Source organism: Homo sapiens, chromosome 6 (assembly GCF_000001405.40).
Source record: "Homo sapiens chromosome 6, GRCh38.p14 Primary Assembly".
NCBI lineage: Eukaryota > Metazoa > Chordata > Mammalia > Primates > Hominidae > Homo > Homo sapiens.
The window spans coordinates 35,403,159-35,428,924 of record NC_000006.12 but is presented as its reverse complement, the minus strand read 5'-3'; the positions used below and the strand labels follow the sequence as shown (position 1 = coordinate 35,428,924).

The 25,766-nt window shown below is 51.8% G+C and overlaps 1 protein-coding gene across 35 annotated transcripts in view, besides 2 other annotated features; it reads right to left on the bottom strand.

Annotated features, from left to right (window-relative positions):
• Positions 747 to 25,766, bottom strand: part of PPARD (peroxisome proliferator activated receptor delta) — an 85,621-nt gene continuing 60,601 nt past the window's right edge. For 22 of the 35 annotated variants that reach the window (XM_047418925.1, XM_017010974.2, XM_005249193.2 and 19 more), the window contains 6 exons: positions 17,708 to 17,938; positions 8,644 to 8,798; positions 6,967 to 7,105; positions 4,777 to 4,979; positions 4,146 to 4,596; positions 747 to 3,093 (listed from right to left, as the gene is read on the bottom strand). In XM_047418925.1, the coding sequence (XP_047274881.1) occupies positions 2,846 to 3,093; positions 4,146 to 4,596; positions 4,777 to 4,979; positions 6,967 to 7,105; positions 8,644 to 8,798; positions 17,708 to 17,837 (1,326 nt within the window). In that variant the 5' untranslated portion in view covers positions 17,838 to 17,938 and the 3' untranslated portion in view covers positions 747 to 2,845. Of the gene's footprint in view, positions 3,094 to 3,524; positions 4,597 to 4,776; positions 4,980 to 6,966; positions 7,106 to 8,643; positions 8,799 to 17,707; positions 17,939 to 18,562; positions 18,712 to 25,766 lie in introns of those variants that run through there. The other 13 variants (XM_047418935.1, XM_047418934.1, XM_047418933.1 and 10 more) reach the window with 5 other exon arrangements.
• Positions 17,204 to 17,736: an enhancer, noted in NCBI's record as "H3K27ac-H3K4me1 hESC enhancer chr6:35378966-35379498 (GRCh37/hg19 assembly coordinates)". NCBI's record gives its function as "activates a minimal SCP1, AML or CMV promoter by ChIP-STARR-seq in primed H9 embryonic stem cells {active_cell/tissue: H9 hESC(primed)}" and the evidence as "EXISTENCE:reporter gene assay evidence [ECO:0000049][PMID:30033119]".
• Positions 17,737 to 18,270: an enhancer, noted in NCBI's record as "H3K27ac-H3K4me1 hESC enhancer chr6:35378432-35378965 (GRCh37/hg19 assembly coordinates)". NCBI's record gives its function as "activates a minimal SCP1, AML or CMV promoter by ChIP-STARR-seq in primed H9 embryonic stem cells {active_cell/tissue: H9 hESC(primed)}" and the evidence as "EXISTENCE:reporter gene assay evidence [ECO:0000049][PMID:30033119]".

Genomic DNA, 25,766 nt, shown 5'->3' with positions numbered 1-25,766 from the left:
TCTGGTTCTACAGTCAAATCAACTGGTGACTTCAGGCTCCTGGGTCGCCGCAGTGTCAGTGTGTGTTGTAGCAACGGTGGGCCCTGAATACCATTTTCCCATTCAGCCCTGGAGGTGAGAATGGCTTCCTGCAGTTAGTCATCTCTGGATGACTCCTATTTCCCCCTATTGATCTTTCAGTACTTCCAATACTTTTGTAACAACTCCCTGCAGTACATTCCCCATTTGGAAATATTTAGCTGTAGTTTTTTCCTGACTAAACACATACTCTGTTACACACCCTGACCTGGCCTCACACTGCAAACAAACCCATGGCTGCCGGGGGCTGGGCTCGACTGGACCGCTGGGGAGATGGCACTCAGGAAAGACAGGAGAGAGCTGGGTGGCAGCAAAGGAGAGGAAAGCCGTGATCTCTTGTGGTGATGAAAAACTGGCTTTGATCTATTGAGTCCTGCATCCGCCTCCTCCAGGGGCCTTCCCCTTCCCCAGACCCCAAGTGCTCCACCAGGTGAGGCCAGGGCACCACAAGTCCTTTGTCCCCTCACACCCCAAATTCTCTCTGCAGGGCGGAAATGGCATAGTCGTCCACCTGACTGACAAGCGGTGAGCAAAGCGAGGTGGAGGCAGGGGAGGGTTTTGGAGCCCAAAGCCTCCTTTGCCCTCCAGTACTGGATGTGGAGGAGGCGTGGAGCCCTGTAAGCCCCAGGAAAAACATGCAAGTAACTGAGTCAGCTTCCAGTCAGCTCTTAAATATTTAATTCCCATTTATTTAAAGTTTCGTCAGTCTGTGTACACTATTTATATTAAAAACACAGGAAGCTGGGGCTCCTAGCAAAAATATACATTTCAATTTTGGAGATTGTTCAGACACTGAGAAGAGCTGTATCCTCAGCACCAGACCCGGGTCGGGGCAGGGACGCGGCATGTGGCCGGGGAGGGGGAGGTGGGTCCCAGCAGCTGTCCCTTCATAGCCTTGGCCTGAAAGGAAGCACCCCAACCCCCATCAGCTGGGTAGGTGGGGAGCGGGAAGAATCCTGCCAGCAGAGAGTGATCCTGGGGCATGGAAGGGAGGCTGCAGCGCCCGTAGGGGCAGGGGCTGGGCACTTCCACCCAGAGTCACACACAGAATGGCTCCTTGGGAGGGAGGACCAGGCAGGACCCAGGAAGCCTGGGCTTGAACCCCAGTTCTCCTACCTCTGTGCTCTGAGACTCCAGCCAGCCCCTTGCCCCTGCAGGCCTGGAGGGCTCTGCGCCGCTCAGACATGGCATGCCCAGCTGTGCTTTGGCCCTGCTCTGAGGTGAGCGCACCTCAACCTGGGAGCAGGGGAGGGCAGGGACCAGCGGTGTGGGACTGGTCCCACAAGGTCCCCGGACACTAGAGGCTGTGCAGGGAGACTTCTAGGTGGCCAGCTGGGCTGAGTAAAGGGGAAGGGGAGGGCAGTAGAGCTATTGGGACAAATGGACATCAGAATGAACAGGCTCAGTTTATCCCGGGAAGCTCCCACTGGGAGCAGGTGCTGGGCTGACCCACCAGGACCTGCAGGACCCCTGCCTCCCCGGAGACCTGGCCCAGCCCTGCCTGCTCACCTGCAGGCCCCTCTCTCTGGGTTCTCACCTGCCTCAGGGAGGGAAGGGAGGTGCATGGAGCCTGCAGGTAAAGTGATTTCAGTGCTTATGTGTGTGTGCTGGAGGGGCAGCTTCAGGGGGAGTGGGGCCTGAACTCCCGTGGAGCCAGCTAGAGAAAGGAGCAGGGGGATGTGAGGCCAGGCCCTGGCCCTGGATGCTGACACAATGTGGGCGGCTGCTACTGGGCAGGGGGGCAGTGGGAGTGCTGGCGGAAGGCCTGCCCCGAGCTCTCCCTGGCCTGACCCCAGGACTCAGACCCCGAGTCCTAGGGGCAGAATTGGGTGTGCTGCTTCCTCCAACCACCAATCCCCCCTCCTTCTCTTGAGACTTGCTCCTCTTCAGTGAGGTGGGGGCCCACCTGGAGGGAACCCTGCCTACTTCCAAGCTGGGAGAGTGCCGTCCAGCGGCCAGTGCAGGGGGCCATCAGCAACATTGGCCTGGCAAACCAGTGTGAAGATGGAAGGACACTGGGTGTCAGTGGGGCTGAGGTGTGCTGCTGGAGCAGGATCAGTTGGGTCAGTGGGTGGCCTCAGCATCGGAGGGGCAATGACAGTCTTGGGGAGGCATCTGGCTCTCAGCCTGGGGCCTCCTGCCCACTGTCCTTTGCAGCAGGGACCCCATGACTATAGGGGGCTGCAGTCAGTCCAGGCCATGCTTAGCCTTCCCTGGAACCCAGGCCCAGAGAGCTTAGTGTTTCTTTGGATGGCTCAAGTCTTTTGCTCTGAAGACAGGAGACAGAAGTGAGGACCTAAGCCTGCAGGTGCAATGATGGGGCAGAGGGCAGGCCCCACTCTCTTCTGCTCCTGGGGAAAAGGTGTGCAAAAGCAGAGGTCCTGTTCTATGCTGCTGGTGAAATAATACAAAACATCTCACAGAATAAGAAAGGAGGACAGACGTGGGGGGTGGAGAGAGAAAGGGAGGGCAAGGGAGAAGGGAAGAGAGAAACCTACAGAAAGGAAGAAACAGAGCAACAGGAATTAGAAAAGAAAGAGGAACTGAGAAAGAGGGAGACAACAAAGACAGGAAGAGAGCTGGCTGGAGGAAGCGGGAGAGAGGGCACAGGGAGCCAGAGGCCGTGGGTGTCATGTGTCTGAGGGCGATCGTGGGACTCTGCTGCTCCAGGCCGGGTGCTCAAGGGCTGGTCAATGGAAAAGTCATGTGGGTGGGCCCCTCCAGTGCTGGCCCCATTGGAGTCTGCAGGGAGGCCTGGGTGCCGCCGTTAGTACATGTCCTTGTAGATCTCCTGGAGCAGAGGGTGCAGCGAGGTCTCGGTTTCGGTCTTCTTGATCCGCTGCATCATCTGGGCGTGCTCGGTGACCAGTTGCCGCAGGTCAGCCATCTTCTGCAGCAGCTTGGGGAAGAGGTACTGGGCATCAGGGTGGTTGGCCTGCAGGTGGAATTCGAGGGCACGCAGGATGGTGTCCTGGATAGCCTCCACCCGTGGAACGTTCATGAGGCCTGGCCGGTCTGTGGGGACACAGGGCACGCCAGGGAGCTCAGAAAGGCAGTGGAGCTCCCCTACTTCCACCCCAAGAGGTGACTTGGCCCAGGGGACGGCAGGCCTCCTTGGCCGTGACAGACCAAGCCCTGTCCCATCAGCAATGCTCCACTGGGTGTTCTAATCTCCCTACCCCTGGTCTTAATCCACTTCTTTTGTTTTTTGCCAATTTGTCCCCACCTCCCCCCCGATTAGGCAACGTAGTATTGTGGTTAAGAGACTCAATGCTTAATTCAAATCCTGTGTCTGCCTGTGAGGCTATAGGCAGGTCATTCAGCCTCTCTGATGTGTAAAATGGAGACACAAAACATTCTTCCTGCACAGGGTTGTTGTGAGGATCAAGTGAGTCATCATCGATGAAAAGAACAGTGCCTGGCATGAAGTAAGCTCTAGACCACTGTTAGTTAGCATAGTTATTATTGTATTTATTGTGTTGGAATTTTAAAAATGCAGAAAAAATGCAGACAATTTTTCCACCCCACATTAACATGACAGCATACTGCCTGTTAGTCCTTTTCCTTTTTTTTGAGACAGGGTCTCACTCTGTCACCCAGGCTGGAGTGCAGTGGTGGGATTTTGGCTCACTGCAACCTCCACCTCTCGGGTTCAAGCGATTCTCCTGGCTCAGCCTCCCAAGTAGCTGGGATTACAGGCGCGTGCCACCACATCTGGCTAATTTTTTGTATTTTTAGTAGAGACGGGGTTTCACCATGTTGGCCAGGCTGGTTTCGAACTCCTGACCTCAAGTGATCCACCCGCCTCGGCCTGCCAAAGTGCTGGGATTACAGGTGTGAGCCACCACGTCTGGCTTAGTCTTTTTCCTGTCTCCACCTCTATCTACGTACATAATGAGATGGAGCTGATCCTGCATGCTCAGTCAGTGCCTTGCATGTTCCACTGCCAAGATCACAGGGACACTTCCCCACACTGTCAGAGCTCAGGCACAGTGCCCTGCAGTGAGGGCCAACCCCCAGGACGACTGGGTGTGCCAGGCCAGCCCACCTGCCCCACTCTCACTCACCTCCACACAGAATGATGGCCGCAATGAATAGGGCCAGGTCACTGTCATCAAGTTCCAGGGCGTTGAACTTGACAGCAAATTCAAACTTAGGCTCAATGATATCACTGAAGGGTTTGCGGAGGCTGCGCAGGAACTCACGGGTGACAAAGCCACTGCCGTTGGCTACCAGCAGCCCGTCCTTGTTGACGATAGAGGCCAGCATGGCGAAGATGGCCTCGTGCACGCCATACTTGAGAAGGGTAACCTGGTCGTTGAGGAAGAGGCTGCTGAAGCTGGGGATGCTCTTGGCGAACTCAGTGAGCTCCCGCACGGTCTCCACTGTGGTGCACTGGCAGCGGTAGAAGACGTGCACGCTGATCTCCTTGTAGGGAGGCAGGCCATTCACCAACTGCTTCCACACCAGCCCCTTCTCTGCCTGCCACAATGTCTCGATGTCGTGGATCACAAAGGGCTGAAAACCAGGCCCCGTTAGAGATCAGGCCTCGGGAGACCCCCACCCTGTGCTCCCCATGTCCCTTGCCTGCACCATGAAGTTGAGGGAGGGAGAAGGCCTGGCTCTCCCGGAGTCAGGCAGGCGGCAGTGGGACCCAGAGCCCAGGATGCTGCCAGGCCAAGCAGCAGCAACACTCACCGCCGTGTGGCTGGCTTTGCCGGTGAGGATGCTGCGGGCCTTCTTTTTGGTCATGTTGAAGTTTTTCAGGTAGGCATTGTAGATGTGCTTGGAGAAGGCCTTCAGGTCGGCCACCTGTGGGTTGTACTGGCTCCCCTCGTTTGCAGTCAGCCCTGCCACCAGCTTCCTCTTCTCAGCCTCCGGCATCCGACCAAAACGGATAGCTGCACAGGGAAGGGGGCAGTCAGCAAGGAGCCCAGGCAGGCCCCAGCACCTCTGACATCCCCATCCCTTTACAGGTGCATGGGCCAAATCCTTTTGGAGCCTAAGGCCCCCAGAAGCTCTAGAGTCAGCAAGGTAGGAATGATGGGGTGGCCCCTCCAGATCGCAAGCTCCACAAGATGTGATTTTTTTTTTTTTTTGGTGTATCTTTGCAAGAGCAGTGATTTTGTCTGTTTTGTTCACAGTGCCCAGCACACAAGGACTCTAACTTACTGAGTGACTGAGCTACGCTAGCTGGGGTAAGACAGACTTTGGTGACAAAGGCCTGGGCTTGAGTTCCAGCTCAGCAGTTTACTAGCTTTGTGACTTGGGGCAGACTCCTTCACTTTTCTTTTTCTTTTCTTTTTTTTTTTTTGAGACAGAGTCTCGCTCTGTCTCCCAGGCTGGAGTGCAGTGGCACGATCTCGGCTCACTGCAACCTCTGCCTCCCGGGTTCAAGCAATTCTCTGTCTCAGCCTCCCGAGTAGCTGGGATTATAGGCGCCCACCACCATGCCTGGCTAATTTTTGTATTTTTTTTTTAGTAGAGACAGAGTTTCACCATCTTGGCCAGGCTGGTCTTGAACTGCTGACCTCAGGTGATCCACTCGCCTTGGCCTCCCAAAGTGCTAGGATTATAGGCATGTGCCACCATGCCCAGCCTTTTTCTTTTTTTGTTTTGAGACAGGGTCTCACTCTCATCCAGGCTGGAGTACAGTGGCACAATCATGGCTCACTGCAGCCTTGACCTCCTGGGCTAAAGTGATCCTCCCGCCTCAGCCTTCTGAGTAGCTGGGACTACAGGTGCACGCCACCAAGCCTGGCTAAATTTTTTTTTTTTTTTTTTTTTTTTTTGTAGAGATGAGGTCTCACTATGTTGCTCAGGCTGGTCTTAAACTCCTGGACTCAAGCAATCCTCCTACCTTGGCCTCCCAAAGTGATGGGATTACAGGTGTGAGCCACTGCACCTGGCCACTTTTCTTTTTTAATCAGAAAAATGAGGCTAATACTTTTTAAAACTTACTGAGTTATTAGATCAATTAAATAAGAATCCTCACATAGTAAGCACTCAAAAATTGTTGTCATTAGTAATTGAGTAGGATACGAATTCGACTTCTCCTGGAGTTAGCGTAAGGAGAGGGATTCAGTCAGTTCCGAGATTTCCTAAGAAAGGAGTCAAACCCAGACCTGCCAGACCCCATTACCCAGGAGAGCCGCAAATGGAGGGCTCAGGTACTGCTACCCTCTAAGATGCAAGGCAGTTAGGGCATCCCTGGGTAAAAGCTGGCCAAGCAGCTAACCTGCCTGTAGAGATCACAAGAGGCTCTCCCCTGTCCTCTAGGGGTCTTACTCAGAGAGGTACTGAGGGGACAGGTGGGCTTTGCAATATCCTACCCTGGGGTCCGAAGACAAGGCTCTGCAGGAGGCCTGGAGCACAGGGCAGAGAAGGCTCTGTCTCCTGGGAGTGGGTGACCTCCAAGAAACTTCTGCCTGGCTCCTGGCAGTTGACAAATGTGGTTACTTACTGGTTACTGCCTGCCTTCTATAACCAAGAAGGGCCACCTGGCCTTGGCAGTAGCTTTCATGCTGTGTCAGGTCATCTGAGACAGGCTTGAGTTTCTGGGACTGGTGTTCCCCAAATTGTTCAAGCTGGTATCAATTATCAGTTCCCTTCTGGGCCAGAATGCGTAAACCTCAGGTATAGGGAGGTAAACACTACCCCACGCCTGGGACCCATGGTAGATGCTGGCAGTCTGAGGAAGTGGCAGGTCTTAGGCTCTAAGATCCAAGGTCCAGATCAGCAAAGCCAACAGCCAACAGCCATGGTGCTTACTGTGCGCCAGGCACTGCTCTACAGGTGCCCCCTCTAGGCTGCCCCAAGGGCTCCCTGGACCTTGGTTTCAGGCTGTGTGGAGCCAGCAGCCCGTGAGTTGCCCTGGTCAGCTCTCACCGTTGTGTGACATGCCCAGTGCCAGGCACTTCTGGAAGCGGCAGTACTGGCACTTGTTGCGGTTCTTCTTCTGAATCTTGCAGCTGCGCTCACACTTCTCGTACTCCAGCTTCATGCGGATCGTACGACGGAAGAAGCCCTGAAGCACCAAGAACAGGTGAGGAAAGGCCACCAGGAGGTGGGAGGGAGGCTGTGCCAAAGGGCCCGATTATGTATAAGGTGTAAACACTCCTGACATTTGGAAGTAACGAGAAGAAATTTTTTTGGAGGGGAGATGGAGAAGGAAAGTAATTCTAAAACTTTAATTAAAACTATTTTAGTTCAGGCACAGTGGCTCACGCCTGTAATCCCAGCACTTTGAGAGGCCGAGGTGGGCGGATCACCTGAGGTCAGGAGTTTGAGACCAGCCTGGCCAACATGGTGAAACCCCGTCTCTACTAAAAATACAGAAAAATTAGCTGGGTGTAGTGGCACACCCCTGTAATCCCAGCTACTCAGGAGGCTGAGGCAGGGGAATCGCTTGAACCCGGGAGGTGGAGGTTGCAGTCAGCCAAGATCGCGCCATTACACTCCAGCCTGGACAACAAGAGTGAAACTCCATCTCAAAACAAAACAAAACAAAATAAAACAAAACAAAACAAAAAAAAAACACAACTATTTTAAATGTCTAAAGAAGTCCTAAAGCTTCTTTGTTGGGGCTGGACACAGTGGCTCACGCCTGTAATCCCAGCACTTTGGGAGGCCGAGGTGGGTGGATCACCTGAGGTCAGGAGTTCAAGACCAGCCTAGCCAACATGGTGAAACCCCGTCCCTATTAAAACTACAAAAATTGGGTCAGGCACAGTGGTTCACACCTGTAATCCTAGCACTTTGGGAGGCCAAGGCAGGTGGATCACCTGAGGTCAGGAGTTCGAGACCAGCCTGGCCAATGTGGTGAAACCCCATCTCTACTAAAAATACAAAAATTAGCCAGGCATGGTGGCATGTACCTGTAATCCCAGCTACTCTGGAGGCTCAGGCAGGAGAATCTCCTGAACCCGGGAGGTGGAGGTTGCAGTTAACTGAGATCACGCCACTGCACTCCAGCCTGGGCGACAGATCGAGATTCCATCTCAAAAAAAAAAAAAAAAAAAAAAAAAGCTTCTTTGTTAGTTTGGTAACATAAGATTGTCTCACGGCTAACTTGATTTCTTCATAAATGTATCTGGTTCTGTGTATTTGTGAGGTGGTGATTCAATAAAATAATCTGTGAGATTTTGATGGGTGTGAAGTTAGGAAGGACCCACAAATATCACTGGAAAAACAAATGTCTGTCCTTTTTTCTCAGAGCCCGCTTTGAGCCTTGAGAAACAAGAAACCCAGACCTCAGGTAAGACGATGGCTCAGCCCAAGACCCTCATTCTGCCCTAGCTGCCTGGTCCCCAGGGGGACACAATCACCCACAGAGCTGGGTCAACACAGGTGCCCAGCAGGGTAGGCTTGACAAGGGAACCCCCTCTTCTCCTGCAGTGCCCAGAGCTGAGGTCTGGAGCACAAGGGCCTGGCTGCCTCCTGGGCAGGAATTCTGCAATAGGTACAGTCAGGGCCCCACCCCAAGGCAAGGAAAGCTTTGTGGAGGGTCAATTCACCATGTGACCACAGCCTCAGTGGCCAGCCACCGCTCCCCCCAGTCCGTACCTTGCACCCCTCACATGCATGAACACCGTAGTGGAAGCCCGATGCCTTGTCCCCGCACACCCGGCACTCCATGTTGAGGCTGCCGCATGAGGCCCCGTCACAGCCCATCTGCAGTTGGTCCAGCAGTGAGGGTGGCGAGGAGCTCCGGGAGAGGTCTGCGGACACACGATGGAGGGGCAGCTCCACATGCTGCCAGGCCTGGAAGCCAGGGCGTGGGAACAGCCCCACAGCCCTCGCCTCAGCCACTTAACAGCTGTGTGGCCTCAGGGAGTCAACCTTTCTGAGGACCAGTTTCTTCACCTAGAACAGGGGGTACTGACAGCTTCTCTGGGAGGATGGGCAAAAAGTCTCCACAGCATTTCTCCCAGAGCCTAACATACAGAAGATGTCCAGTACACAGCAGCTATTACCATCAGGGCTGGGTCAGAGGCTTCCTGGGCTGAACTCACCATGGGGTAGCAGTGGGGAGGAGGATGGCTGTGTTTTGGGAGGAAAGCAAGAGAGAGAAAGCAGACAGAGGGTCTTAGCCCTTAGGAAGCAGCTCTCCTGGTTCAGAGGTTGCCACCGTGTGGCCCATATGGAGATGTGTGCAACGTGTTTTGCAGAAACTGCAGGACTGTAGACCTCTGCAGAGCTAGCCTCCCCACCATCCCCCACAGGAAGTTCTATTCTTGCATAGACTCCAGGGATGCTGTAAACAATCTCTTCAAGAAGCTCAAGTTCATTCCCATGAAAACTTCTTGAGTAGAACAGCTTAGGTATCAGTCATATTGATTAAGCAACACACTGAATTTCTCCAAGTTTTTCTATCAGACGTATAGATGTTTGAACCACGGGGTGTTGAGTGTGTTGGCGAGAAAGGCAGTTTGCTAAGGCTATGACTTCAGGATATATCTGCTGTCAGATGATTTCATAAGAACTGCTAGGATTCTCTTCCCAGTGCCCTTTGGACACTCGGAAATGATCTCTTCATCTTGGAAAGGGGACCTGAACTGAGTCTCAGCTTCCTGACTCCTAGCCCAAAGCTGGTTTCATGGCCCCACATACCAGCTGTCCTACCTCTGCCATGATGACCGTCCAACCTCTGCACTCTTCTCTAATGACTGAGCAACCTCCCCAAAAGCAGGTGCCAAACCTCCAAACCAGAGAATCAGCCATTTTGAGTAGAAGGGGATGTTGGGGGACCGAAGCCACAGAGATAAACCCAGGCTAATGTTTTCCAGGCCTGTGGTAATACCTGTCTACTACACAGGCCAAGCAACTTTGATTTCCCCACCATGGGAGTACCTATCCACCTGCTACCAATCAAAGTGCACTCCATCCTTCCCACATGGTCTCCCCACTCCCCCAGCTTCCCCTTGGGTCCTAGGAGTGGCAGCAGGAAAGCCTGCTTCCCCTATCCTGACCACAGGAGGGGGAGCACAAGAAGCACCCAACTGTGGCAGAGAGGACCCAGTGGGCTGCTCCCCTCCTGGCTGGTGAGGTTTAGGGGTAACACAAGTCTCTGGTTCCTAAAATGGCCTGTCTTGTCCTGGCACCTTAGCTCCCAACTTCAGTCATTCCAAGGTGTTGTAACTGTTCCTCTTGACCCAGACTGGGACAGTGGGCTCCCTACATCTCTCGGGCCTGGGAGGGAAAAGCTGTGCTCTGGGAGGGTGAAGCCGCTTTGGTCTTCTCAGTAGCCTTTGTCACCGCCTGACATATCCTGTGTGTGTTCATTGTTGGAAGCCACCCACTAGACAAAAGGGCCACAAGGGCAGGAACTTTGTCCACCAGGGCACCAGCGTGGTCAGACACTGAGAGCTGTGTGAGGTGCTGGGCACGCAGCAGGCACGCGATAGCTCTCTGCACATCTGGCAGTCCTCAGGCTGCCTGGGTGTCCTGACTGCAGCACCAACTGGCTGATGGGGCTGGGCAGGACCTGCCACTCCTGGAGGCATTTATAACAGGGACAATAAAACTCACAGCACCGGATGTTGGAAGAAAAAGAGATAACATGACAGAAACCCTTTGTGGATGCCTGTGCAGATGCTGGGGCAGGCAGGGTTTCTGGCACTTCCTCCTTGAATCTGTGCAGTCCGTGAGCATATGCTCGTGTTGGGGCATTTCTTGTAATTTTGTCTTTGTGGCCTGCACGTCTGCTTCCTCTGCGAGACTCTGCATGTCTCTACTCACGTTCCCTTTGGATCTCTGAGCTCACTTCCACCACCGAGTCTTGTCCACAGTGGCCAATACCCTCAGATTATTCACACCTCCTGGAGGTGCCTTTCTCATCCTCCCTGTGGCCATGGAAGGTCAGCAGGTGTCTAGTCATTTGGTTTCTGTTGGCACTGCACGTGACAATGTCACCCTCTGTGTTCACTCAAAAGACACATGATAAGCACCTTCTATATGCAGGACAGGACCTAGACTCTATCCTCAAATAGCTGAGGTAAGAAAGAGGTAACAGCAGGGCTGGGTGTGGTGGCTCACGCCTGTAATCCCAGCACTTTGGGAGGCCGACGCGGGCGGATCACGAGGTCAAGAGATTGAAACCATCCTGGCCAACATGGTGAAACCCCATCTCTACTAAAAATACAAAAATTAGCTGGGCGTGGTGGCACATGCCTGTAGTCCCAGCTACTCGGGAGGCTAAGGAAGGAGAATCACTTGAACCCGGGGGCAGGGGGGCGGAGGCTGCAGTGAGCTGAGATCGCGCCATTGCACTCGGCTGAGTGTGGTGGCTCACGCCAGTAATCGCAGTACTTTGGGAGGCCAAGGCAGGAGGATTACCTGAGGCCAGGAGCAACATAGTGAGACCCTGTCTCTATAAAAAGTAAAAAAAAAAAAATAGTTGGGTGTCGTGGCACCTGCCTATAGTGCCAGCTACTGAGGAGGCTGAGGCAGGAAAATCCTTGAGCCTAGGAGAGCTGTGATTGTGCCATCGTATACCAGCCTGGGTGATAAAGCAAGACTGTCTCTACTTAAAAAAAACAAAAGGCCAGGTGCAGTGGCTCACACCTGTGATCCCAACACTTTGGGAGGCTGAGGCGGGAGGATCACTTGAGCCCAGGAGTTTGAGACCAGCCTGGGCAACATAGTGAGACCCTGTCTCTATCTCTATAAAAAATTTTAAAAACTAGCTGGGTGTGGTGGCACATGCCTGTAGTCCCAGATACTTGGGAGGCTGAGGTGGGAGGATTGCCTGAATGTGGGAAGATGACTTGAGCCTGGGAGGTCCAGGTTGCAGTGAGCTGTGATTGCACCACTGTACTCCAGCCTGTGGTGACAGAACAAGACCTTGTCTCAAAAAAATAAATAAACAAATAAATAAACAAGAAAAACAAGGAAAGGTAAGGTGTAACTTAACCTACTGTAACTCACTTGTGCCTACAGGAAAAAAATAAAATAGAAAAAAAAAGAGAAAGAGATAAGAAAACTAGAACATGAGACAGAGTGGAGCAACGCCAGGTAAGGGGCAGTAAGAAGTGCAGGATATTGGAAGGAGCCATCACTCACGCATGTGACTGTCACGGAAGGGGACTGCTTCCCTCTCTGCTGAAAGAAAGGTGATGGCAGAATTCTTCTCATACTAGGGGCTGGGTTCTGAAGGTTCCACCACTTCCCCCGCATCATGATGTCCTGGGTAGAGGTGGGGGTAAGCAGGTGTCCTGCTAAAGGCACTCCATTGGACACCCATTTCATCTCACGTAAAACCTCAAAACAACCTTTCAAGATGGTCTTCTTACCCCCACTTTACAGGCAAGGAAGCCGAGGCTCCAAGGCTCAGAAGTGTTAGTAACTTGCTGGCAGCGGCTATGTTGGTCTTACATATCAACTTGATTAGGCCACGGTGCCCAGTTGTTTGACCAAACAATGTGCTAAGAAGGTGTTTTTTTTTTTTTTTTTTTTTTTTTTTTTTTTTTTTGAGATGAAGTCTCGCTTTTGTTCCCCAGGCTGGAGTGCAATGGCGCGATCTCAGCTCACTGCAACTTCTGCCTCCCGGGTTCAAGCGATTCTCCTGCCTCAGCCCCCCGAGTAGCTGGGATTACAGGCGCCCAGCTAGTTTTTTTTGGTATTTTTAGTAGAGATGGGGTTTCACCATGTTGGCTGGGCTGGTCTTGAATTCCTGACCTCAGGTGATCCACCCACCTTGGCCTCCCAAAGTGCTGGGATTACAGGCATGAGCCACTGTGCCCGGCCACTAAGAAGATATTTTTTAGATGCAATTAACATTTAAATCAGAAGACTTTGAGTAAAGCAGATTACCCTCCATAATGTGAGTGGCCCTCATCCAACAACTGAAGGCCTTAAGAAAAAAGACTGAGTGCCTACCGTGGCCCCACTGTGGAACAGGAAATTCTGCCTCCAGGCTGCCTTTGGACTTGAGCTGCAACATCAACTTCCCCGGCTCTCCAGCCTGCCTGCCTTTCAAAATTTGGACTTGCCACTCCAACAACTGTGTGAACCAATTCGTTAAAACACATCTCTTTCTTTCAACACACACACACACACACACACACAGGTTCTCCTTCTCTGGAGAACCCTGACTAATACAGTGACAGAGCAAGAATTATAACCTAGAACCATGCAATTCCTGGAGCTGAGCTCTTAACCTCGGCATCTCACTACTACGCATACCTACATGTTCAGTACCGCTAATCAATAACATTATTATGATGAACAAGAAGACACAGTCACTGCTGAGGAGGCACCATGTCATTATCCAAATGTTTGGATTCAGTGTAAACACTAGCCCTCTCACCCAGAGAGTAAAGTATCAGTTTCACCATCTTTGATGACAAGTTCAGCAAATAGACACTATTGACCTTATTCACATCATTTGTGGCTGAGAGCTCTCCTGCATATCTAGCCTCCAATGCTGGGAGAATGCCGTTGTCATGGCTGTGAAGACAGCCAGGAGGCGCCCGATTGGTCTATTTACTTTGCTGGCAGAGCTCACAGGCAAACAAGCACCCAGCAGCTTCTGAAGTCAGGCCAAATTCTGCAGGGATTTGAGGCTGGGTTACTGAGCAGCCTCTTTACTTCTGCTGTCCTGTTTGCCTGAACTGTGGGCTCCTTGGGACAGGCACTCAGCCTTGTCCACCACTGTATGGCCAGCCCTGGGCACAGTGCTGGGCCCAGCCTGATGCCCACCAAGTGCTTGCCAAGTGAGGAGGTGCTGAGGCCAGGAGGAAGGACACTTTATCTTCCTCTTTCTCAAGGGTGATTGGGATGGATGTCACTGAAGCAGGAGGGATGAGAATGGGAATGGGAGGTGAATCCTGGCTCTAGCTGTCTCTACTCCTACACGCCCAGGGGACCCTGGCAAGTGGGTTTCTGGTAACCTCAGTTTCCTTGTTGATGGGAAGGTCTGTCCTGCCTGGCTGGGGGGAGGGTGAGAAGGTGCATGGCAGGTGTTGAGCTCAATATCTGCACTGAGAGTCAGTGCTGAACTGCTGAGGAGGGTGGTCAGGGGTGACTGTGGAGCCTTCCTGCTGTTTCAGGGCTCAAAGCTGTGCGCTGTCCTTATGGGTCCCTCAGGGGACTCCCGAGGCCAAAGTAATAACTCATGGGGATGGGGCAGAGAACTAGCAGGTGCTGAGACCTGCGATGTGTCACATACCCCCACTGACTCTCACCTGGCTGGCCCTCAGGCTGGGTAGGACACAGCCTATAAAGGTGAAGAGAATGAGACTTGGAGAAGTGATGGCACTGGCGAGGGCTACAGCTCACAGTGACAGACCTGGGATGCCTGCCCTGGTCTCTGTGATCTCCAAGCCCTTCTGCTCTGGACACATGATCAGGCTCTGTCTCCAGGGCCCCTCACCTGCCAGATCCTCACCCCCCTTTTAAACAGTTAATTTTACCCTTAAAAAAAGTACAGTTGCCTTTCAAATTATGGAAGTAGTGCAGACTTGTTGAGAAAAACACAGAAGGGTATGCAGGATCTTATGACACAGCCTCCTTAACCATGATCCTGCTCCTCAGAGTTAGCCCCTGAGTCCTTCGGTATAGACTCTTCCGGTGCCTTCTATGAAACATAAGGATTTTAAACAATGGGATCCCCAACTTGTCAGGAACTTATTTAATATATATATAAACCAGCCTTATCCTTTTCAATGACTCCAGAGTATTCCACCATATGGCTCTACCACAGTTTACATAACCAGTTCCCCACAGATGGGCACGTTCCTATTTTTGCTCTTATGAGCAGTCCTGCAGTAAATAAGCTGGCATGGGAATCTCTGAGCATGCTGAGCAAGTACTTACACAGGACACGTTCCTAGAAGTGGGAATGCAGGGTAAAAGAAATGCACACTTGGCCAGGTGTGGTGGCTCACACCTGAAATCCCAACACTTTGGGAGGCCGAGGCGGGAGGATCACCTGAGGAGTTCGTGACTAGCCTGGCCAACACAGTGGAACCCCATCTCTACTAAAAATACAAAAATTAGCCAGGCACGGTGGTGCACGCCTGTAATTCCAGCTACTTGGGAGGCTGAGGCAGGAGAATCGCTTGAGCCCGGGAGGCAGAGGTTTCAGTGAGTTGAGATCGTGTGCCACTGCACTCCAGCCTGAGCGACAGAGCCAGGCTCTGTCTCAAAAAAAAAAAAAAAGAATCACACATTAAGAAGTGTTGGCCCACACTACCCTTTCACCCCTGGTGGTGGGAGGACCAAGTCCTCCCCACCCATCTGACAGGTGAAATGGCATTGCAACTTAAGGTGCTTTCTTTGAGTTGGTTAGACTGAAAAACCTGTCGGGATTTCAGGCCATTCGTATTTGTCTTACTGTTACCTGTTCTGATTTTCCTGCTAGGTTGCTTGTCTTGTAGAATTTTTGGGAACTTTTCATACACTACAGCTTTAACACAAAGTGATTATGTCAAGTAACCCTCTCTCCTGTTTCAATGACTGAACAAGGAAGTCTATCTCCACTTCATCCACTTATTGATAAACAGAATCTATTAAACACCACCGCCTACATAGTACCATGTGACTGGTGAGGCAACCTCTGCCCTGGACGTTTCCCGCTGTGCCCTAAATCCCACAACGAAGCTGCCTGAGAGGTCACCGCCATGCCTGCCTCACCCTACCCCTGCTCCCAGGCACCTCACCTGGCCTGCACGGGAACAGTGATGCTATTTGGGAAACAGCCCTGGTCCCAAGAAGGGGTGTGGAGGAAACTCCAGGACAGAACACTGCTCTGCAGGGGACTTCCATCTGCCTGGGCTCAGATGTGGGGATGAGGTGGGCCACGGCAGGCGGCATAGCCACAAACCCTGTGGCCGTCTCTTCTCCTTGCATTCTCCCCTGAATCCTCATGACATCCCACACTCATTCTTAGTCCCCACTGTCTTCCCTTTGCTTTCTAACCCTCCCTACCTTCTTCAGATTTAGAACAGTATGTGCTACTGGCACTGAGTGAATTATCACTCCTGGTTAGCTGTTCCTCTCTTCTGAGACAGGCTGTGTCTCCAAAGCCATCCCAGTTACCAGCCAATAGACAGGAAGTTGCTTACTCGGGGAATGGCGGACACCTTCACTTTGGCCCTAGAATCACATTTGGCCTACTTTGGTCACTCCCAGGTGATCCTGGGTGAGATGAGAAGGACTGAATGATGGCTCTATACTCCCTCCACCCAACTCTATACACTGAAGAGGAAGAACTTCTGCAAAATTCTGGGACTTGCTTTGCAGGTTCAAGGTGGTGTGGCTCCAGGATTCAGACCCATCTTAGCTGCAGACCCAAACAGGAGCCTGCGCTACCTCCACAGCCTTCACCCTGCCTTAGCTTGGACACTAACTGCCTCCTCCTGCTCCATGCAGTCACAGGGGTCCAGAGCCCATTTCTGCGGGGTGGGCTTGCTCCTCTGCCTGAGTCACCGCCTGTGGCTAGGATCTCCTGCAGCTGAAAGCAGCAGCGAGTGCAGGGTGTCTACTCCCAGCAGTATATCCTTATGACCCTGAGTTCCCTCTAAGGGGAGGAGCGAGGATGAGCTGCATGTGCAGGCCTGCAGCACTTGGGTAAGGAGAGAAGTGGTGGGAGAAAGCAAGAAGCAGAGGGATCAGGCCAGGCGCGGTGGCTCCTGCTTGTAATCCCAGCACTTTGGGAGGCTGAGGTGGGTGGATTGCTTGAGCCCAGCGGTTCGAGACCAGCCTGGCCAACATGGTGAAACCCCATCTTTACTAAAAAAATACAAAAATTAGCCGGGCGTGGTGGTGCACGCCTATAATCCCAGCTACTCGGGAGGCTGAGGCAGGAGAATCACTTGAACCCAGGAGGCAGAGGTTGCAGTGAGCTGAGACTGTGCCACTGCACTCTAGTCTGGGCAACAGAAGGAGACTTTGTCTCAAAAACCACAAAAACAAAAAAGCAGGGGGAACTGCAGCAGGGAAAGCCAGGGGCTGCATGGATTCTGGGTGCTTTTGAAGGTAAACATAACATGATGATGATGAAGATGACAGAACAGTACAGGGTACTAGAGAAAACTGTCTGCACTGCTGATAAATAAAGGGGAACCAATAAGTGAGACAGGAGAAGCTACAACTGCTTGGCTGCATAAAAATAATATTAGTTGAGTTATTCATACTAACTGCTTAGCATTTTTATCTAATTATGATACGGCTCAATGATGATGTGTATAATTATTACCAGACCAATTGAACTGTGTGTTTCGACTGATCATAACAATCCCAGGTACAGCTGATCTTTCTAGTGTGCTGTTAGTGGAGATTGGTCTCAGATGCCTTGTGTTAACAGTGGTGGGAATACTAATAATGATGATGACATGTGTTACAGATGCCCACTCATTTAATTCTCACGAAAGCCCATATCCACATCACCTACCATCCTTTGGCCTGTTTTACAGAAGGAAGTGGTGCAGCTTGCTCCAGGCCCCACTGCTGGTGAGTGGCAGAGCAGATCCCCACCGCACTGGGCGTGAACCCAGGCTTCCGGCTCCAGTCCTTCAGCACTCTGCTACTCTGCGCCCCACATGATGGCGTTTGCAGAGGGCCAGGATCCCCACTGCACTGGGCTGTGCCTCCTCTGCCCCGTGTCCCCTGCCAGTCCTCTCCTCACCTGTGTAGCTGCTGGAAGGAAGTGCATGCTGTGGTCCCCCATTGAGCTCTGGGGCTCCTTCTGCCTCTGCCACTTCCTCTTTCTCCTCCTCTTCCCGGACCTCAGGGGCTTCCTCCTGTGGCTGCTCCATGGCTGATCTCCCCTCGGCGCCACACCTGCAGGCCCAGTCATAGCTCTGGCATCGTCTGGGTCTGAACGCAGATGGACCTCTACAGGGTGGTTCCCATCAGCCTGGGCAGAGGAGAAGACAGGAAGAGGTCAGGGGAGGCAGTGACAAGGAAGAGGATGGTGCGAGTGGGGCACGCTTGGGGGCTGCTGTCATGGAGGGGGTTCTTCTGCTCCTGCTCCTTCCCTAGTTCCTGCAGTGCTATACCATGGTCTCTGCTCCTTGTATCACAAGTCACCTGCCCTATCACCCTTCCCACCTGGCTCTTGTAGTGGGTTTGTGGGGTTCGGAGCAGGCTCCATAAACTAGAGAGGTGACACATCACTGTGCCACCCTTCCCTGCCTCCTCTGCTGCCTTCTGTTCTGAGTCTCCAGGAAGCACATTGGAATGACTTGAGGGGCTTTTCCCAACTCTCCAGCCCACCTGGAGATCCAGATATGCATCACGCCTCCCATCCCCGACCCTGTCCCTATCAGCACTCAGGCCCAAGAATCACGGCTCTGCTGTGCTACTGTTCCTGAAGGGGTGAGTCCCATCCTTTCAGTGGTTGGGTGTGGAAAAAAGACATAAAGCCCTGCTGTTCTTGGCTCATGTTGACAGCAGATCTGCAACCATGGCCTCAATAGCAGAGACATCAGAAAAAGGAAGATGTGCTCCATCCTGGAGTCTTTCCAAGGTGACAACTTACTGGGTGGTGATGCCACGTCCACATCACCCAGGAGGAGACAGTTCCAACCCTTAGCAAGTAAAACATTATCCACAAATGCCACAGTCAGAGATGATAAGATCATGAGGTACTGTGGAGAGTCTCCCAGCGGGGAAATGTCTGCACCAGACCTTGTGGAAGGATCAGGAGAAGAAAAGATCTGCTTTAAGATGTTAAGCATCTGTGGGACCCCAACTCTCAGATATTTTACCGACAGCTCAAACTCAATCTATCCAAACAGAACCCATCATTTTCCCCAAACCCATTCGTCCTCTAGTAATCTTTACTTTAGCAACCCACCTGCCTGTCTACCCACTCATCAGAACCAGAACCTGGAGTGATCAGAGACTCCTTCTGCTCTCTCTCCCTGCTCTAGACCTGCCAACTCGGCTGTACACTGTAGTCACTGGGGAGTTTTTAAAAAGACAGATGCCTGGTCCCATCCCCAGAGATTCTCCTTTGATTGGTTTGGGGAGCAGCTTGGACATTGGGTTTCTTATTTTTTAATTGTCCTGGTGATTGTAATGTACAGCCAAGTTTGTACAAAACATGTTAAGGCTACACATTCATTTCCACCAGGCCTTCCCTTGCTTGGACTTAACAATAACCTCGGGGCCTACTTGAGGGTGGAGGCTGGGAGGAGGAGAGGAGCAGAAAAAATAACTATCGGGTACTAGTCTTAGTACCTGGGTGATGAAATAATCTGTATAATAAACGCCTGTGACACAAGTTCACCCACATAACAAACCTGCATCTGTACCCTGAACCTAAAATAAAACACCACCACAAAACTCTTAGCTGTTTTCTGATGGGTTTTTTTGTTGTTGTTGTTATTGTTTTTTGAGACAGTCTCACTCTGTCGCCTAGGCTGGAGTGCAGTGGCGCAATCATGGCTCACTGCAGCCTTTATCTCCCGTGCTCAAGGGATCCTCCCACCTCAGCCACCCAAGTAGCTGGGACCACAGGTGTGCACTACCACACCAGCTAATTTCTGTATTTTTTTTTAGGGATAAGGTTTTGCTATGTTGCCCCGGCTGGTTTTGGACTCCTGGGCTCAAGCAATCTGCCCACCTTGGCCTACCAAGGTATTGGAATTACAGGCATGAGCCACTGTGCCTGGCTTAAAAATAATTTAAATTATAATAAAATAAGAAGGCAAAACTTAATAATGTGGAAGATGAGAGGGAGTGATCAACATTCAATCAGCTCAAGTCCCTTTACTTCTCAAAAGATGTCTCAAGATGCCGATGTATGATTTCCAAATCATTAGAGTGGGAAAACCTGGAAAAGGTCACGTAAACCTCTAGCTTTGTGACTGAGGAAGCCTCACAGACAGGAGCAGACCACAGAGACACAACTAAATGAATGTGGGATCCTGGACCAGATCCCCGAAGCAGAAAGGGGGCAGTGGCAGAAAAACTGGTAAGGTCTGAACAACACACTGACTTTGGTTAATAGTATTGTACCAGTGTTCCTTTATGTAAGATTTAATGTGAGCTGGGTAAAGGATATGTGGGGACTCTGTACAATCTCTGCAACTTACTCTGTAACACCGAACTTTTTTCAAAATAGAGTTAGAACGAAAAAACCTTTAAAAATTTTGGTTTTCTGGCTTCTCTTGAAAATTGGGCAGACCTGGCCCTTGGGCACCTGCATGCCTCTGGCACCCACCCCCAGAGCCAAGCAATCGGCTGCCCACTCGCATGGTCTCCACTAGTGGCAGTTTCTCCCCTGCAGGCTCTTTACTCATTTACACTGCATTGCAGGGACTTGATAGTTTGTTTAATGTACATCAGTTCCTCAAGGATCAGTCCCTGACCACTCGCCCCTGGGTGTTAAACTTGAGAAGCACCAGACCCAGAGCACAGGAAATGTTCACAGGTGCTGTCCTGCTCACCCCGTGGCTTTCTCCAAGTGGCAGCTGGGGCAGTCACTCCTACTTCTCCCCAGCTCCATTCTCCTTCCTTCTGAGTCTCAGTCTTCTCTGGATCAGCAATCTGTGCCTACCTAAACACTCAATTTCCCCAAGCTCTCTTGCAGCTACAGTGTTCATTGGCATAATTCTGACCAGCAATATGTGAACAGAAATCTACCAGGAGGAGCTTCCGAAAAAGCTATTATTTCCTAATAGAGAGACAAACTTCTGCCCCTCCCATCTTCCTGCCTGGAACAGGAATACTATGCCTAGAGGTGTAGCAGCTGCCTTCGGAGCAGCAGAAGACAGGGTAGGAGGGTGGGTGAAAAGTCCGAAAGCACCTGGCCACTGTGGCCTCCCAAAGCTGCTGGACCCACCCTGCAATGCCGGCCTCCAGACTGCTTGTTAGGTGAAAAAATCAAACTTGTTTTACCAGGCACTGATTGCCGGATTTCTGTTGCATGCAACTGAACGCAATCCTAATTTAAAATAGGAGACATAAAGACACTTAGCTCAAGAGTAGAGTGGGGTTCTGGGGTGGAAGTTGGCCACAATACTGGAAAAAGGACCCTAGCAATTACCAACAGCAGTGTGTGACTGTAGTGGCATTAGTCAGCTTTTTTTTTTTTTAATTGTGTGAAAGACAATTATTCTTTTATTTTTATAATATATTCAGACTCGGCATGGAGAGGAAACTAATTTTAGCTGAAATCTTTTTTTTCAAAGTTTATTTTATTTTATTTTATTTATTTATTTATTTTATTATTATTATACTTTAAGTTTTAGGGTACATGTGCACAATGTGCAGGTTAGTTACCTATATATACATGTGCGATGCTGGTGTGCTGCACCCATTAACTCGTCATTTAGCATTAGGTGCCATTATCCAAATAACAAGTACCAGAAACACTGATTCTTTATGCTCCACCAGATTGAAAGCCTGGAGATGGAGGAGGTAGGGGAGGGTGAGAAGGGGCCACGGGAGGCCTCAGAAGGGATGAGTCCCAAGAGAAGGAGCAGCACGGGTGACAAGGGTCAGATGGTGGGACCCCCGAGAGCCACAGCGCAGTGGCGGCAGAGCCCAGGGTGAGTGGGATGAGGCAATGAGAACACACTCTGTTTTTGGACCCATGTGGCGTGGGTGTCAGTGGACACGGGGCAATGCACACCAGGCTGTGGTGATGAGAGCCAGGAAGAGGAGGACGTGAAGATGTGGGGTCCCCGCTTAGCAGGCAGTAACAGAGGAGGAAAAGCTACAATACTGCCTGGTATATATACTTGACAACACAGCATCTGAGCCTCTGGTGACCCTGGGGAAGACCTGATGGAGCTCCCTGTCAGGACCAAATCCTGGAGGGAGGGGAGGGAGCTGACTGAGCTCCCACTATGCGTCACGCTCCCACTCAAGCCTCGCCAGCCCCCATTAAGGCCTTATAGGCCCCCCTTGCAGATGACAAAAGTGACAGGCCTGAGGATCCCAACAGGGCATCTCAGAACATGCTAGAGGACGAAGCAGAAAACGGCAGAGCTTCGGACACAGCAGGACTCGAGCCGGGCCAGGCCCTGACAGCTGTGTGCACTGGGCCGTGTTACTCAGCAGAGCCTCAGCTCCCACTCCCACATATGAGCTGGTAGTGGGTTTTTTTCACCAGAACCGGTAAAACTGTTCTCAGTTTCGGGAGGTGTAAGTAAGTGGTTGCCTCTTAGACTCAGATGCAGTTCTGGACTCTGGCTAGAGTTCTGAATTTGGGACCAGGGTCTCTAGTTCCCACGCTGACATCTCTCCCTAGCCTGGAATTGTCTCTTCTGACTGTGGCCTCTCAAGGACACCAGTGAAGAGGAAGGGGAGCTGTAGCCTGGCTGTTCTAAAACCTACCCACGTCCCTTGGGCTGCTCCTATTTAGATTGAACTGCTGTGCTGCAGCCCATCCCTGCATTTTGCCAGAAGCCTGCCATTTTCATATGGCCTCCTTGCTCCATCTACAGCTGAGGTCTGTCATCTACCCTGAGCCAAGGTTGCTCCCTGTTCTCAGCTTGCCCAGCCAGGAGCAACCTTGACCCCTAGGCTCTCTCCCCTGACCCACTGGACCTAGGCCCACTGTCTAGATTTTCTCAGGTAGCTGCCACCCCACCCACCACAATTCCTGCAATGAACCCTATTCTCCTCTTCCTTTCTTAAGCCCTGGCACTAAAGATAGCACAGGCTGGGCTGGGCATGGCTCATGCCTGTAATCCCAGCACTTTGAGAGGCTGAGGCAGGCAGATCACATGAGGCTAGGAGTTCGAGACCAGCCTGGGCAACATGGCAAAACCCTGTCTCTACTAAAAACACAAAAATCAGATAGGTGCGGTGGTGCACATTTGTAATCCCAGCTACTCGGAGGCTGAGGCACGAGAATCACTTGAACCCGGAGGGGAGAGGTTTCAGTGAGCCAAGATCGCACTGCTGCACTCCAGCCTGAGGACAGATTGAGACCCTGTCTCAAAAACAAAAAAAAAAGTCCAGGTGCGGTGGTTCATGCCTGTAATCCCAGCACTTTGGGAGGCCAAGGTGGGTGGATCACTTGAGGTCAGGTGTTCGAGACCAGCCTGGCCAACATGGTGAAACCCCATCTCTACTAAAAATACAAAAATTAGCCAGGCATGGTGGCGCACGCCTGTAATCCCAGCTACGTGGGTGGCTGAGGCACGAGAATCGCCTGAACCTGGGAGACAGAGGTTGCAGTGGGCCGAGATCGCACCACTGCACTCCAGCCTGGGTGACAGAGGAGACTCTGTCTCAAAACAACAACAACAACCACAATACAGCCAGGCACTAAGTTTAATTTGTATGCCGGCAAAAAACCCTGGCTTTTTTTTTTTTTGGTCTGGCTCCCAGTGTTGGCTATCTCCCCTCTCCACGCCCCAGCACTATGCCAGAGCCAGAAGCCCTCTGATCATGTCACAGCTTTGCCCCACTTAAGAGGCTGGAGCTTCAGACCCCCAGACAACACAAGGGCCCTGAGCCAGAATGAGGGGGCACGAATGCAGCAATGTAGCCCCTCACCAAAAAGTAGTCCCTAGCAAAATAATTTCTTGCATGGGGCATGGGGGAAGGGCAAGGGGGCTCACACCTATAATCCCAGCACTTTGGGAGGCTGAGGCAGGCAGATCACCTGAGGTCAGGAGTTCAAGACTACCCTGGCCAACATGGCAAAACCCCTGGTTATCCGGGTGTGGTGGCACGCACCTGTAATCCCAGCTACCTGGGAGGCTGAGGCAAGAGAATCGCTTGAACTAGGGAGACAGAGGTTGCAGTGAGCCAAAATCACACCACTGCACTCTAGCCTGGCAACAGAGCAAGACTCCATCTCAAAAAATAAAAATAAAAGGATTTCTTGCAAAACAAACCCCTGGACTATTCCAATTCTGACATATATGTATGTGTGTACACACACACACACACACACACACACACACACACACACACACACACAAAGCCTGCAGTGCACATGCAGCCCCCATGCTCCCATTCCAATACCCACTGTCTGGCCCCAAGAAGAAACTCAGCCCTTCAGAGAACTTAGGTGCAGGGAGGGGCATGACTCCATCCATTGCCCATTGGCAGGTGAATTTCATGGGCAGTGGTAGTTAGAAGCTTAACCCAAATGGCCCAGAGCTCTAGAGAGACCTGGTCTGGGGCCAGAGCAACTAAGCCACCTGGGGCCCAGTCCTTCCCACCAAGTCCAGTTGTCTCCCTTCCCCGTCTCTGCTAGGAGTAGGGAGGGGCTCACTTTCAGGGCAGCCCTCTGTGCTCCTGGTCAGCTGGGCAACCCCCAAGTGCCTCGTACTCCTCGTGGTGACTCAGGTGTTTCCCTGATGCCCACTGGCAGGCTGTACGGTGTGGGAACACTTCTGCCCTACCCAGGGGATGAGTGGGGACAGTCAGTGTGCCAGGGGCCTCCATCCTCCATGGGCTCCATCTGCCACATGGTACAGCCTGATGGACCTTCTTACTGTACCAGAGCCTAAGCTGGATCACCACCTCCATCACAATAGTACTAGCTTCCCTTCTCCAAGGACTTATTACACACCATGCTCTGTGTATGTTGGCAAATGTAATCCTCACAACAACCCTAAGAGGCAGGTACTATTATCATCTCCATTTAACTGACGTGGAAATTATGGCACAGAGAGGCAAAGTAATTGGCTCAAGGTCACACAGTAACTAGAGAAGCAGGATTTGAGTCAAGGCAGGTTGGCTCAAGTCTTAGCCACTCTACTGTGTGCCTCATATATGGTGCTGGGTAAGACTGGACCAGGAGCTGGCATGTCCTTGCCCAGCTGGGGCTCCTTAGTCTCAGTCTGGAGCCATCACCTCTGAATCCTCTGTCTGGCTGCCAGTCCCCAGCTGTTTCTGTCAAGAACACCTTGGTCAAAGCCCTTCTGGACATTACTGCCAGAAAATGACTCCTGTGTGCTGAAGACAGCCACAGGCTCTCGTCCCTGCCTCCCTCTCCAGGCCTATCCTCCTGCTCTGCCTGCCTATGTGCCTCATGATCCCACATCACTCCCTGAGCATGGAGGCTTGAACTGGCACCTGCCTTGAATGCCATCCCCTCCACTAGCTAAAACCTTCTCTCCTTCGCGACCTGTCTGCACCTCCTCTTCCGGGAAGCTCTCCTGGACTAGCTCCATTCTGTTCCTTCTCACCACAACCCTGACCCGGGCCCTCCAGATCTGCAATCACTACACCAAACTGCAATGTCTGCTAACTGCTCTGGCCTCACCATGTTATCAGTTTCCCAGAGAATGCCCTGTATCTTACTGAGGTAGGTCCCAGCACCTGGCACGGTGCCTGGCATTTAGTGGGTCCTCAACATACGTTTGCTGGATGAATAAATATACTAAAAACATGAGCCTTAGCCACACTATTCTGAGTTGTAGCACTTGCCACTGTATCAGTTTTCATATATTACTGCCATCGAGATGCAATACTCCAAAGAAGTGAATTCCACCGGCTTCAGTCAGGCCTGGGTTCACACCCTGGCTCATCCCTCCCATCCTATGACTTGGGGAAGACATTAAAACTGGAATACTACCACCTAACCTGAGAGGCTGCTGTGTGGAATAAATAACGATGCAGTAACTGCTTAACAGTGCCAGGTAGATAGTAAGGGTCCTACAAATAAGGACCACAGTGGCTGCTGCTATTATTATCACCCATGGCTTGTGTTAAGGGATTGTATGGTGATATTCCAGTCCTAGAAATGTGCTAGCCTGCTGAAACCC